The 15760-nt window shown below is 39.6% G+C and overlaps 2 protein-coding genes and 2 pseudogenes across 8 annotated transcripts in view; 1 reads left to right on the top strand and 3 right to left on the bottom strand.

Moving 5' to 3' along the window:
- GET1-SH3BGR (GET1-SH3BGR readthrough) overlaps positions 1-15760 on the bottom strand; it is a 135179-nt gene that overhangs the window by 11513 nt on the left and 107906 nt on the right. For all 3 annotated transcript variants that reach the window (NR_146618.2, NM_001317744.2, NM_001350300.2), the window contains one exon: positions 4077-4169. Coding sequence is in view for 2 of the 3 variants with exons in the window: in NM_001317744.2 (NP_001304673.1) it covers positions 4077-4169 (93 nt within the window). In the remaining variant the exon portion in view is untranslated. The remainder of the gene's footprint in view (positions 1-4076; positions 4170-15760) is intronic.
- SH3BGR (SH3 domain binding glutamate rich protein) overlaps positions 1-15760 on the bottom strand; it is a 69642-nt gene that overhangs the window by 11515 nt on the left and 42367 nt on the right. For 3 of the 5 annotated variants that reach the window (NM_001317742.1, NM_001001713.1, NM_007341.3), the window contains exon 4: positions 4077-4169. The exons of the other annotated variants lie outside the window; for them this stretch is intronic. In NM_001317742.1, coding sequence (NP_001304671.1) covers positions 4077-4169 — 93 coding nt within the window. The remainder of the gene's footprint in view (positions 1-4076; positions 4170-15760) is intronic. 5 annotated transcript variants of the gene reach the window in all.
- Positions 12074-12516, top strand: RPS26P4 (ribosomal protein S26 pseudogene 4; annotated as a pseudogene).
- On the bottom strand, positions 15037-15683 carry MYL6P2 (MYL6 pseudogene 2; annotated as a pseudogene).

Here is a 15760-nt window from a genome sequence, read left to right as displayed (position 1 = left end):
GAGCTGACTTTCTGTTTTCCTCCTTTACTCCTGAGGCGCCGGTTCCTTAGCCCCTCACCCTCCCCTGGGTTATCAGGCCAGGCCCCATGAGGTCCCCTATTTTCTAAAGTTACAGGTAAGATCTTCCTAGGCATGAAGTCATGGTCTTTTCGGTGTTCACCCTCCTGACCTCCCAAGTCCTCCTGCCTCAATCCTTTATCAAGGACAGAATTTACATCTTGGCATCTTGTCTTTAAGAACCCTGGAAGTTGAGGAGGTGGTCAGGGGAAGTCCATATCATTAAAGAAGATAATAGTTTTTGTTTCCATTTCTGTTGATTTTTTTAATCAATGTCAAACATTAGGTAAATATTCCTCTCCATTAAATGGAATTGTATGAGTGCCTACAAGTGTGCATTGAGTATGCATGTTTCATAGCAGAGATCAGATAAGCCTGTCCCTGACTTAGGCATTTACCTGGTTTATCACTCAACTGAACATTGCCAGGTGCTGGAGAGAGGTTTTTTGCTCGTTTTGTGTTTTTACTGCACACATGACAATTGTTTTTAACACACAAATGAAGGCAGGTTTTTTTAAAAAAAAGGTAAAAACTTGATATGGTTTGTCATCTAGTTAACAGAAATGCACCAATGCATTGCATTTCTGGTTTCATTAAGGCTAGATGAGATGTCACCATTTGGGGAAGTTGGGTGAAGGGCACACAAGACTCTTATTTTTGAAACTTCCTGTGAGTCTATAGTTATTTCAGAATAAAATGTTTAAAACTGTTTTTATTCCTTCTCATAATAAGTGTGGCTGAAGGCCAGGATATGAATTGTGACTTGTTCTTTCTGCTACACAAAGCTGAGGGGGTAGAGGGGTCAGAGTAAGAGTTATTTTCTCTTCCCACAGGCGACCTATTTGTTCTGGCTTTCCACCCCTAAGGAAGAAAGTATAGACCTTGGTTTTCAAAACCTTAGGCTAATGGGGTGATAAAGCTAGGCGGTCCCTGAGGAAAAAAAAAAAAAGAGCTTGGAATTGGCAAGACGGAGGTGGCCAGACTGGGGAGGAAAGAAGGATTTTCCAGGAGGGGTACTGCCCAGGCCCTGCTCATACACAGAAACAGAGCCAGGGACCGCTGGGGCATTTAAGTAACACAAGGCACTCTGTACAGGCAGCAGCGTCCGCGGTCAGAAGGCCAGCCACTGTGAAAGGCCAGTCTGTGTCCAGCCAGAACAGAGGGTCTGGCCCATGCCAAGGGACAGACAGCAGAAACACCACCACAGACAACCAGCACCCAATCCCTGCCCAGTCACCACTAACGACCCCAGGATGGCTGTGAGACCCTCAGGAGGACAGGGTCTTCAAAACACCCCACCCAGCTGGAAGCTCCTGCCAGCCATGAGGTGGGCACATGGAGCAGATAGAGGGAATTTAAAGCAATAAAGGAAGCTGACATTCCTTGCCCAGGAGTCTTAGGAACCAAATGTGGGCCCACGAATATTCTAAACTTTATATCCACCGCAGCGTGTTGGTTAATGAGGGAAGCCCAGGGGAGCACCTCTGTTTTAACCACAGCAAGCCAAGAGGAGCAAAAAGAAATAGCCTCAAGATGGTTTCAACGGAGCCAGGAGTTTGAAAGCCTTGGATTTATCTGAGGTGTCATACCTACATGAAACTACTAGGATGTGTCTCATACTTTCAAAATCAATGTTCAAAACACACAGAGCTCTCCCTTGTCTTTCTGATTCCCTGTCAGCCTGTCTATGCCTGGGGTGCCCTGGGAGGAGAGATGCCTTTACAAATAGCCCACAATGTCCTCCCATTTCAGCAATTTTTTTTTGAGATGGTCTTACTCTATTGCCCAGACTGGAGTGCAGTGGCACGATCTCAGCTCACTGCAAACTCTGCCTCCCGGGTTCAAGCGATCCTCCCACCTCAGCTTCCCAAATAGCTGGGATTACAGGCGTGCGCCATCACAGCCAGCTAATTTTTGTATTTTTAGTAGAGACGGGGTTTTACCATGTTGGCCAGACTGATCTCAAACTCTTGACCTCAAGTGATCTGCCCACCTCTGCCTTCCAAAGTACAGGGATTATAGGCGTGAGCCATGCGCCCGGCCCCATCTCAGCTTTTAACAACAAACCAGAGACCGTCAAAACAAGCCAGTAGGTTCTTGAAGCACAAAATGCAAGCATTCTAAATATCTAAGTGGTGTTTGTCTCCTTCTTAAATTTTAAAATTCAGCCTATTTTCATATACACTCATAAGGGTTAATCATGTTTTTACAACATTTTTCATCTGTTTACTGACAATCACAGAGGGTTTTTCTAATTTAATTGAATTAAAGTAAATCAAAGAGCATGTGTTGGTTTTCAAACAGGAAGAAGTCAGAATCTGTCTTTCTGTAGGATAAATGGCATTAAAGAGTTGAAAAGTAAATTTGATAATATGATGTTAGTAATATATTCATATAAAATAAAAATATTTTTCACTTACGGTCATTTCTTCACCATAGCCCACACAAAAATAACAAAAAATGGTTTTTTTAATTCCTACCAGGATTCACAAGATTATAATTGACTTTGTCAAAGGCTCACAATTTTAAAATGTAGTAGCAAAGAGAACGTCCAAGCTGGGTGATTCATCACTTCACAGAACTAACCCAGCCCAGTGGCTGAGAAGCTGAAGCAAAGCCCACCCTGGCTATAGGAGGCAGGATCTGATTATAAATATGCTACCTTCCTGCTGGTCTCACGGGAGAAAGGGGCTGGGGTGTAATGCTTTTCATCTTTGTCTCTATGTCTTAAAAGAAGCAAACTCAACTTCAAAGTATTCATCAATATGACTGTAAGGGTGCATTAGGCAACTCATGCAAAGTTCAAATTGTGAAACAGATTATGTTTTAATTACAAGATAATGAAATGGTCACTATATTTAATTTTTAAAGTATTGTTTCTGAATTATACAGGCTGCCATGAAACACCGTCTAACTTCTAGGTCAAGATTGAAGATTTTGTCTTTCTTTAAAACAAAAACTTCAGAGTTGTAATATCAACATTTTGAAATAGCAGTCTACTTCAAATATAAGTCTAAATATCAGGGAATTTCCTTCCCTAGCCCCTCCCAATTTAAGTTCTTTGAGGTAAAGACAAATGGATGCCCAGCCCCACACCCCTTTTTCCATAGCGTGGGTGTGGGTCTCAGCCCCTTTCTAGCCACATTCTATCTGGTGAATGAGGATCCAGCTCTCATAAAAGCTCCCACACCTCTCCCAGAATAAATAAATTAGCAAACCATCAGGGTTTGAAAAATAGTCTTTGCTACAACTGACCCAGTGGAGAAGCCCTCTAACATTCTCCTCTAAGGAGGCCCAGAACAATGCCTGCACCCCATTCCCAGCCCCACCAGGCTCCTTCCTTGGCGCCTGGTTTCCCAGCACATTTTCAGAACTCCTTGAAGAAGTGGCCCATCCCATCCCCTATTATGTCAGCTTGGCACTCACAGAACCACAGTGTCCCCCAACATTGCCCACTCCTTACCCTGCTGCTACTGCATGGGAACCCCTTTAGAATTAATCATGTGACTTCACCAAGATCTGCTATTTCCCTGATTGAACTTAAATTAACTGAGTGTCAATTTCCCTCCCCAAGGAGTCCTTTTTATCCTCAAGTTCCTCTTGTCTTCCGCCAGATATACTGCACTCCCTTAGCTCTATTTCCCCACTGGGCAGGGCTCCTGGGTGGGTGTAAGCTAGGAGTCTGTCATTAATCATGATCAAGCAGAAAGGTCCCTTGTTTATAAAGAGCATACACCTAACCTAGCCATAACACCACCACAACAAATTCTCCAAGCCTTGTCCAGCCGGCTCCCTCCTGGTCTGGGTTCAGGCTCCTTTGTCTTCCCTTTAGCCCTCTCTGCACCAGGATTCCAGTGCTTAACACATCAGTAGAAATTACTTGCTTCCTCCCTGGCTAAACTCTCAGCTCCTTGCCCTCTTTCTGACTGCTTGTGCCCAGAGTCAAGTTGTACAAGCCCTGTAAAAGTCTCGAACAGCAGAGAATCCAGTCAAACTGCTGTGAAAAAGCGAAAACTCACATTCTTCTCCTGGGCTTCAGGGAGGTTGCCCACATCTTCACTGCCCTCTTTTTGTGCCTCAGTTTCTCCACCTTCTTCAGCCTTCTCTGATCCCTGGTCATAAAGGAAACCCAGGATATGAGCTCAAAAACAGAAAAAAGAAAAAAAAAAACAGGCCACATATGCTGTGGCTTTCTTATTTAGACACACAGTATATAAATGAAGCAAACATAGACTGCCCACTCATTAGGTCACTTAGCGACTAGAGCATAGGATCTCCAAACTCCAAAATGCCGACTGGGATAAGTCAAAGATCCAACCTATGTGCATTGCAGGGTAACAAACTGCCTAAGTGAGGAGTTTCAGTTCACCCACTTCAGGCTGATGAGGAGAAGAATTCTATCTTTACACAGTGTTTTCTATTGCTTGTATGGAGGGAGGCTTATAATTTTAGAGATTAAAAATTAAGAAGATAGATAAGGTAGAAAGATAAAGTAGACAGGTAAACATACATAGATGGATAAATGGATGGATGCATGGATGGATGGAGAGATGGATGGATGGATAGATGGATGGATGGATAATGTTCAGAGACAGACAGACAGACGGAGGAATGGATGGATGGGCAAACAGATGGGTAGGCAGGCAGACAGACATAGATAGATAGACAGATAGACAGATGATAGATAGGTGGATGGATGGATGATAATATGGTTAGGCTTTGTGTCCCCACTCAAATCTCATCTTGAATTATAATCCCCATAATGTCAATAATCCCCACATGTCAAGAGAGAGACCAGATGGAGGTAACTGAATCATGGGGTGGTTTCCTCCATGCTGTCCTCATGATGGTGAGTGAGTTCTCACGAGATCTAATGGTTTTATAAGGGGTTCTTCCCTCTTCGTTCAGCACTTCTCCTTCCTGCTGCCTTGTGAAGAAGGTGCCTTGCTTCCCCTTCACCTTCCACCATGACTAAGTTTCCTGAGGCTTCCCCAGCCATGCTGAACTGTGAGTCAATTAAACCTCTTTCCTTTATAAATTACCCAGTCTTGGGCAGTTCTTTATTGCAGTATGAAAATAGACTAATACAGATGGATAGATACAGATGATAGATGATTGATTAGACAGATGAATAGATAATAGATAGATGATAGATGGACAGGTGGATGGATAGAGAGAGAGAGAGATTAGGACCAAGTAGACATTTTGAGGAAACGGGCATGGGGACGATGGCTCGAGACACCAGTGTTTACCTCTGTGGTGCTCAGTGCCTCTCCCACTACATCACCATTGGGAAGGGACGATGCTTCCTTGGGTGATTTTGTCACCCGCATTATGTAAAGTGAGAGTGTTTGAGAATTTTCTTAAGGATAATAGCTTGCATTTCAATGTCTTAACTATTCAAACTATATTTCTCTTCATCCTTAATCTTCACTAAGTAGGTAGGGCAGTCATTACCACCCACACTTCAGAGACAGGAAAATAAAGGCAGAAAATGTCACATTGTGAGTTAGGGGAAGGACTAGGTCTACACCTCCTCCCTGATGCTCTTTTAACTTACAAAATGGGTCCCAGCCTTTTAAAATATCAGGTTATTTTTATTACAGAGGCTCTGCAAGCTCATGGGAGCAAATTAAGCCACACACACACACCCTCCAATCCCACCCTCCTGTGATAATCAGTATTAAAAATGTGATACGGTACCTCTGCATCCTAATACATAAAAGCTATTTTAAGGGGGAATTGATTGTCATTTTTCTTTTATTTTTGTGGTTTTGAAACAGAAATGGGAACACAGTATGCACAACTTCATTTTTAGCTCAATGTACCATGGACATTTGTCCAGGTCAATTCATATGATTGATCCTATTGAATCATTCTTTTTAACATCTGCTTCATATTAAATATACGATAATTTATTCAAACATTTCCCAGTCAATGGGTGTTCCAAATGTTTATATGTTTCTTCCACCACAAATAACACTGTACTAAACTGAATAAAATGGTGAGGCTATTCTTATTAGTTTTCAAAAAGGTGGCAGCAATTCATATCCCCACAGCGATATATGAATGTCTCCTTCTCCTTTATCCTCATAACCAGTGAAGATGATTGTTATTTCTAATGTTTACCAATATGTTGAGAAGAAAATAGAATTTCATTTTTGGTTTCACTTATACATTTATCATTATTGGAAATAAGGGCATATTTTTTATAAATTTTTAGCTATTTCTATTTCCTCTTCAAATAATTGTCTTGATATGTTTTGCCCATTTTATTTGATTTTTTTCTTTTTTGTAGACATTGCAGTGAATGCATTGCTCATTTTTACTTGAGTTGTTTGTGCTTTACTATAAATTTTTAGAGTATCTTTCTATATTAAAAATTTTAGTCCTTTGTCATGTTACAAATGTTTTCCTCCAGTCTACAGTTTTTACAGATTTTGTTGTATTTTTTTTAGTTTTTAGTCTTTTTATGGGCAAATTTATCTAACTTTTATTCTCTAAAATATGCTTCTATTACTTTATATTGTTATTAATATCTAGAGCTTTAATCCATCTGGAATTTAATTTAGCATATAATGTAAAGTCGACGTCTACATTTGTTTTCTTCCAGACAGATGGCAAATTATGTCTATATTATATATAAATCATCATTTCCCATTACATTCAGATTATATATTTGTCATTTACTATAATATATATAAATTGATGTTTCTACACTATCCTATATATAAATACTGATACAATGAAAATAAAAATTAAAATATTTTATATAAACATATAAATATAAATATATTCTCAGATATACATATAAATACATGTATTAGTTCCAAGACCAATATACTGCTTTTATCACTGTAGCTTAGAGGACATATTTTAATATTTGGAAAGTCAAGTTGTTACACAAAGTATTTTTCAAAATTTTCTTGGCTCCTCTCAGACAATTATTATTCCAAATACATTTTAAGATAATGTTTCTTAGTTCCAAAAATTAAAAAATAGAATTTTGATTGAAATAGCACTAAACATTTATTAATTTAGAAAATTTTCATTCCTTATTGTTAAATCATTCCATCCAGGAACACTGCAGGTTTATTTCTTCAGTATTTGTTAGTGTCCTTCAGAATAAAATTAAACTATGTTCTTCACAGAGGCCCTGTATGTTTCTTGATAAATTTATTCCTAAACATTTTACAGATTTTTATCACTACCATGAATGGGATACTTTTCCTTCTTACATTTTAACTTACTACTTATAATTATTGATGTAAACAAAACCTACAAATTTTTGTATATTTTTCTTTCATCTAGAAACTTAAGAAACCATCTTATCAATTCTAATGCATTTCACTGGAATTTTAAAGATTTTTAGGCATGCAATTATATCATATGCAAATAAAGATAATTTTTTTTTTTTTTTTTTTTTTTGAGACGGAGTCTCGCTCTGTCGCCCAGGCCGGACTGCGGACTGCGGTGGCGCAATCTCGGCTCACTGCAAGCTCCGCTTCCTGGGTTCACGCCATTCTCCTGCCTCAGCCTCCCGAGTAGCTGGGACTACAGGTGCCCGCCACCGCACCCGGCTAATTTTTTGTATTTTTAGTAGAGACGGGGTTTCACCTTGTTAGCCAGGATGGTCTCGATCTCCTGACCTCATGATCCACCCGCCTCGGCCTCCCAAAGTGCTGGGATTACAGGCGTGAGCCACCGCGCCCGGCCAAATAAAGATAATTTTAAATTTTATCCATGTCTTATATACATAAGACTTATTACACATTATTACATTATTACAATAACTACGGCTCCTAAAACAATGTTTAATAATATGGTGATGACAGGCATGCCTATCTTGCTTCTAATTTTAATAGAAATGCTTCAGTATTGCATGGTTCATTATGATACTTATAATTACCTTCTGATAAATGTATTTTATGTTTTGTTTCTTTCTACTTATATTTTAATCCATTCTTAACTAGAAATATCTGATAAATTATATCGAATATCTTCTTGGCATTTATAGGTGCAATCATATGGTTTTTCTCCATTAATCAGTTCATGTAATGAATTATGGCAACTGAATAAATTGTTTGATGATGGTGAATTATCTTTAATTCACTTCTGAATATATTTCGCTAATATTTTATTTAGACTTTTCAGAAGGAGCATGATGGCTTACATCTGTAATCCCAACACTCTGGAGGCCTAGATGGGAGGATCACTTGAGGCCAAGGGTTCAAGACTAGCCTGGGCAACATAGCAAGATCCTTCCTCTACAAAAAAAAATTTTTTTATTAGCAAGGCATGGTGATGTATGCCCATAGTACCAGTTACTTGGGAGGCTAAGACAAGAGGACTGCTTGAGCCCAGGAGTCTGAAGCTGCAGTGGGCCATGATTATGCCACTGCACTCCCACCTGGGTGACAGAGCAAGATCTTTACTCAAAAAAAAAAAAAAAGAGACTTTTACCCTCTGATTCATAACTGAGATTGATCTTGGTACAACTGAAAGTATCCTAAGTAATAGGATAGCTGCTACTAGAAACATAGAGTTTGCTGTTTGGGTCCAACAAAGTAAATGCCTGCTGAAACAAACACAATAGTCAATGTTTTTCAGAAGAATGTAACAAAATACAGAATCTCCACAACACAAGACTCACTATGTTCAAGATACCATCCAAAATACTTAACATACAAGGAACCAGGAAAATGTTACTCATTCTCAAGAGAAAAAAACAACCAATGAAGACCAACACAGAAAAGACCTGGATGCTGGAATTTGCAGACAAGGATTTTAAAGCAGCTATTAAACTATTCTCAAAGATGTAAAGGCAAACATGCTTGCAATGAACGAAACAACTGATTCTCAATAGAAAAATAGAAATTAAAAAAATCAAACAAGTGTAACATTTCAGAATTGAAAAATACAATATATGAAATAAAAAAATTACTAGACTGGATGCAGAATGAAAATGACAAATACAAAAATAAGTGAACTTAAAATAAATCAATAGAAATTATCCAATATGAAGATCAAAGAAAAACAAGACTGAAAAAATTTTAAGCCTTAGGGAAATGTGGAATAATAACAAAAGATTTAACATATATGTAATTAGAGTGCCAGAAGGGGAAATGAAAACAAATGGAGCAGAAATAATATTTGAAAATATAATGGTTGAAAATTTTCTAAATTTGGTAAATGATATAGATTCAAGACTCTCAGAAAACCCCAATAATAATAAGTACACAAAAAAAAACATAGGTAGGCATATCATAATCAAATGGCTGCAGACCAAAGATAAAATGAAAATCTTAAAAGCACCCAGAGAAAAATCATACACTATCTACAGGAAACAAGATCATGTCTCATCAGAAACTATGGAGATCAGAAGACAGAAGGGAAAAAAACACATCCAAGGTGTTGAAAGGAAAAAAACCTGTCAACTAAGAATCTTATATCCGGTGAAATATCCCTCAAGAATGAAAGCAAAGTAAAGACACTTCAGATAAAAGAAAAGTAAAGAACTTATTGCCAGCAGACCTTCACTATGAAACAATGCTAAAGGACTAAAGGAAGTTCTTTGGGCTGAAAGAAAATGACACCAGATGGAAACTTCACTCTTCATAAGGCATCAGAAATTTAAAAGTCTGGGTAAGCACAAAAGATTACCTCCTACTTAAAAAAAAAAAGAAGAAGAAGAAGAAGAAGAGGAAGAAGACTGTTCAATGGGAATATTACATAGTAGAGTTAATGGTATATGGAAATGTGATACACATGATCGTATAGCATAAAGGATGGGAAACAGTCAATGGATGCATATGATGGCAATGTTTCTACATATTACATGAAAGTGTTATAACATTAAGTCTAAGTAGACTGTGAGATGTTAAGAATATATATTATACACCTAGAAAACCCCAAAGACTCCTCCAAAAAGCTCTTAGAACTAATAAAAGAATTCAGCAAAGTTTCCAGATATGAAATTAATGTACACAAATCAGTAGCTCTCCTATACACCAACAGTGACCAAGTGAGAATCAAATCAAGATCTCAACTACTTTTACAATAGCTGCAAAAAAATAAAATACTTAGGAATATACCTAACCAAGGAGGTGAAAGACCTCTACAAGGAAAATTACAAAACTGCTGAAAGAAATCATAGACGACACAAACAAATGGAAATACATCCCATGCTCATGAATGGGTAGAATCAATATTATGAAAATGACCACACGGCCAAATGCAATCTACAAATTCAATGCAATTCCCATCAAAATACCACCATCATTCCTCACAGAACTAGAAAAAACAATCCTAAAGTTCATATGGAACCATAAAAGAGCCCACATAGCCAAAGCAAGACTAAACAAAAAGAACAAATCTGGAGGCATCATGTTACCTGATTTCAAACTATAGTATAAGGCCATAGTCACCAAAACAGCATGGTACTGGTATAAAAATAGGCACATAGACCAATGAAACAGAATAGAGAACCCAGAAATAATACCAAATACTTACAGCCAACGATCTTTGACAAAGCAAACAAAAACATAAAGTGGGGAAAGGACACCCTATTCAACAAATGGTGCTGGGATAATTGGCAAGCCACATGTAGGAGAATGACTGGATCCTCATCTCTCACCTTATACAAATATCAACTCAAGATGGATCATGGACTTAAATCTAAGACCTGAAACTATAAAAATTCTAGAAGATAACATCAGAAAAACCCTTGTAGACATTGACTTAGGCAAGGATTTCATGACCAAGAACCCAAAAGCAAATGCAATAAAAACAAAGATAAATAGCTGGGACTGAATTAAACTAAAGAGCTTTTGCACGGCAAAAGGAACAGTCAGCATAGTAAACAGACAACCCACAGAATGGGAGAAAATATTAACAATCTATGTACCTGACAAAGGACTAATATCCAGAATCTACAATGAACTCAAATAAATTATCAAGAAAAAACGTCCCATCAAAAAGTGGGCTAAGGACATGAATAGACAATTCTCAAAAGAAGATATACAAATGGCCAAGAAACATATGCAAAAATGCTCAACATCACTAATGATCAGGGAAATGCAAACCAAAACTACAATGTGATACCACCTTACTCCTGCAAGAATGGCCATAATCAAAAAATCAAAAAATATAGGTGTTGGCGTGGATGCAGTGAACAGGGAACACTTCTACACTGCTGGTGGAAATGCAAACTAGTACAGCCACTATGGAAAACAGTATGGATATTTCTTAAAGAACTAAAAGTAGAACTACCATTTGATCCAGAAATCCCACTACTGGGTATCTACCCAGAGGAAAAGAAGTCATTATACAAAAAAGATACTTGCACACACATTTATGGCAGCACAATGCGCAATTGCCAAAATATGGAACCAACCCAAAAGCCCATCAATCAACAAGTGGATAAAGAAAATGTGGTGTGTGTGTGTGTGTGTATATATATATATATACACACACACACACACACACACACCAAGGGAAACTACTCAGCCATAAAAAGGAATGAATTAATGGCATTCGCAGCAACTTGGATGGAATTGGAGACTATTATTCTAAGTGAAGTAACTCAGAAATGGAAAACCAAACATCGTATGTTCTCACTCAAAAGTGGGAGCTAAACTATGAGGACGCAAAGACATAAGAATGACACAATGGACTTTGGGGACTCAGGGGGAAAGGGTGGGAAGGGGGTGAAGGATAAAAGACGACAAATAGGGTGCAGTGTACACTGCTTGGGTGATGGGTGCACCAAAATCTCACAAATCACCGCTAAAGAACTTGTGTAACCAAATACCACCTGTCCCCCAAAAACCTATGGAAATAAAAAACTTAAAAAATACATACATATTATAGCCACTAGAACAACCACTACCAAATAATGCCAAGAGGCATAGTTAAAAATACAATAGATAAGTTAAAAAGGAAGTCTAAAACACATTCATAAAGCCCAAAAGAAAGCAAAAAAGCATACAACAGAGGAATAAAAATGGGAGACCAGCTCCAGTCTGTGCCTCCAAGATGACAAATAAAAGAAGGAACAAAGGTCATACCAAAAAGGGCCATGGCCACGTGTAGCCTATTTGCTGCACGAACTATACCTGATGTGTGCCCAAGAACAAGGCCATTAAGAAATTTGTCATTTGAAACAAAGTGGAGGCCACAGCAGTCAGGGACATTTCTAAGCAAGCTTCTTCGACACCTATGTGCTTCCCAAGCTGGATATGAAGTTACATTACTGTGTGAGTTGTGCAGTTTATAATATTAAAGCAAAGTAGTGAGGAATCAATCTCGTGAAGCTTGCAAGGACCGAACACCTCCACCCCTACTTAGACCTGCGGGTGCTGCCCCACGACCCCCACCAAAGCCCATGTAAGTAGCTGAGGCCTTAGAAGACTGAAGAAAAACTATTCTCTGGAGAAAAATAAAATGGAAATTGTATTTTTAAATAATAAAAATTGAAATGGGGCTGGGCGTGGTGGCTCATGCCTGTAATCCCAACAACACTTTGGGAGGCCAAGGCGGGTGGATTACTTGAGGTCAGGAGTTCAAGACCAGTCTGGCCAACGTGGTGAAACCCCCGTCTCTACTAAAAATACAAAAACAGCCCAGTGTGGTGGCACCCGCCTGTAGTCCCAGCTATTTGGGAGACTGAGGCAGGAGAATCGCTTGTACTTGGGAGGCGGAGGTTGCAGTGAGCCGAGATCACTCCGTCTCTAAAAATAAAAATAAAAAATAAAATAAATAAATAAATAAATAAAATGGAGGCCAATAGAAAAAATAAAGAAATAGTAAACCTAAACACAATTATGTCAATGATTAATTGTTAATGAACTAAATACTCTGATTTATAACAGATTATCAAGATGAATTAAAATGCTCAAGACCAGCCGGGTGCAGTGGCTCATGCCTGTAATCCCAGCACTCTGGGAGGCCAAAGAGGGAGGATCACTACAGCCTAGGAGTTTGAGACCAGCCTGGGCAACTAGTAGGACCCTCTCTCTATAAAAAATTTAAAAATCAGCTGAGGATGGTGGTGCATGCCTGTAGTCCCAGCTACTCAGGTGGCTGAGGCAGGGGCATCATTTTAGCCTGGGAGGGAAGTCAAGGCTGCAGTGAGCTATGATCATGCCACCGCACTCCAGACAGTGTGAGACTGTCTCAAAAAAAAAAAAAAAAATGCACAAAACCCAATCAGATGCTGTCTCCAAAAAACATATTATAAAAACAAAGACATAGGAAGTTGAAAGGAAATCGATGGAAAAACTATCCCAGGCAAACCATAAGCATAAGAAATCTAGAGTAGCTTTATATAATACAGATATAAAGACAAAGGGCGTTACCAGAAATTGTAAAAGACAGCTGATAATTACAGAAGCTGTAACAATTATAAATACAAATGTGCCTAATAATATAAATTTTTAAAATACAAGAAGAATAAATTGACAGGATTAAAGGGAGGAACAGAAAATGCACAATCATGGTCGGAGATATTCTCAACTGCAGAACAGCTGTGCAAAAATCCAAACGGATCGTCTCTTTTCTTCCAGGGAATTTTAGCCTTTTCAAATTTATTAGAACAACTGATATAGTTAGTTCAAATGCTTCTGCTGTATTAATTCATGACAGCCTGTCTTCTCTCTTATGCTTTTTCCCTTTCCTTACTATTGCTGGCTAAAGTTTCTCTTCACTCTGTTTTCCTCAGCTCTGCCTCCCGGCCTTGTTAACATAAATGTTCTGAAATGCTTCTCTATCTCACTACTGTTTAGTTTCCTATTCATAATAGTCATCATTAAACATAATTCTCTATTAACATTCACAGTTACACAATACATGGGTTCCCATCAAGATAGTTCACCTGCAATTGAGATGCGCCCTTTCGAACACTTACACTTATTTCCCTTCTTTTCTCCATACCCTCATCCATGAACAGAATCCTTGTAATGGATATTTTCCTATATCTCCTTTCTCACATAGTTCCATCCACAGTGATGAACTCACTAGTGATACCAGAACTCCTAGATCTTTCCAAGATAGTTTACAATTCTTGATTTCACTATTATTCAATGTTTTCCTTTACAGAAGTGGCTCTCCACATTGATAAAACATTAGGTTCACCTGGGAGCTCCCTGACTGAAGCTTCTGCTTAATTGCTCTCAAATGTAGCCCTGGCATACTATTTTTAATGGCAAAAACCGCAATTACTCTTGCACCAACCTAATAGCTTTAACAGCTCCCCAGAGATTTCTAATGTGCAGCCAGGGTTGAGGCTGACTGCCAGTATCTAAACTTCTCTCTGTCCCTCTGGAGTAAGAATACCTCCCTCAGACCTGCTGTGCCTCCCCACCCAACTCAGTGCTCACTGCCCTGCCCTGTTGATCACTCTGTTGACCACTGTGTTGACCCCTGCCAGGTCTAAGAGCAGGATGGAAGTGGGCTCTGCCTTTCAAGCTCCAAGCCCATGCCCAGGCCCTTCCTGCAACTGGAACACACCACTGAGGCTGTGCAGGGCCCACAGAGCCACTCCCATCTCTGACAGGCATTTGGACCTTGATTTCCTTCTTCAAACCAAATGTTTTTGCTTTCTAACCTTTCAGGGATTCTCCCATAGTTTCTAGTCCTCAGGCAGCACCCTTTCTGGTTTTCCTGCAGTCATAAGATAAGGGGATGGAGGGGGCTGCAGCAGCATCTCCAACTGGAAGACCCTGGCATCTCTCGAATGATTAGCCCTCTTCCATCTGGTCTTTTGTTGTTTCTGGAACTCCTCTCGTGCACATATCAGGTCTCTAGCATCTGACTTGCAAACTTGTACCTTTCACTCACAATTTCTATTTCTTTGTGTTTTATTTTATGTTTGATGCCTTCTTCCCTCTGGTCTTCTTGAATGGAGGCCTGAACACTGTTCATTCTCTCTGTTGCTCATCTTGTAGTTTTTGTTTGTTTGTTTGAGGGTTTTGGGTTGGGGGGAACAGAGAACAAGTTTATTGGTGAATGCTCATGGCAAGCATTATCCAAAAGAGACAAGATGGGAAGGGTGCTGTGACCAGAAAGCCTTCGGGGCTAGATACACAGTGTCTCACAGGGCAAAGGACAGGGCTGGGGGGATGCTGGGAATGTGCCCAGCTACTCAGCACCACACAGACGAGCTCTTCAGAGTTGACAACCATTGCTGTCCTCATGCCCGGCCGCCAGCATCTCTACTTCTGCCTCTGTCATCTTCCCACCCAGTATGACAAGGACTTGCCGGATTTCAGCGCCCATGATGGTGCCCTTCTCTTCCTTGTCAAACACCCAAAGACCTTCCATATAATCCTTGGACTCGGACATAATCCTAAAACTAGGCACCCTAGTCCTTGTTCCTGGCCACAGTCTGCAGCATGGGCAGGAAGTGCTCAAAGTCCAGCACCTTCACATTCATCTCATCACTCCTGAGGTTCCCCCAGGACCTGGAGCACCTCGGCATTGGTGGGGCTCTGGCCCAAGGCCCTCGTCATGTCCCCATACTGGCTGTAAGGGCCTTGCCATCACCCATTCAGTCAAACAGCTGGAAGGCCTCCTTGAACTCTGCGGTCTGGTTCTCAATGAAGTTACATGTCGGACTGCTCAGCTCTGCTCAGCTACAGGCCAGAATGCATCACCTTCCGTGAAGAATGACTGCTCAGAAGCCTGTCATAAAGGATTATATGCT

This window comes from Homo sapiens, chromosome 21, assembly GCF_000001405.40.
Source record: "Homo sapiens chromosome 21, GRCh38.p14 Primary Assembly".
NCBI classification, from domain to species: domain Eukaryota; kingdom Metazoa; phylum Chordata; class Mammalia; order Primates; family Hominidae; genus Homo; species Homo sapiens.
The sequence above is the reverse complement of the archived record's forward strand: the minus strand, read 5'-3'. Positions and strand labels throughout refer to the sequence as shown.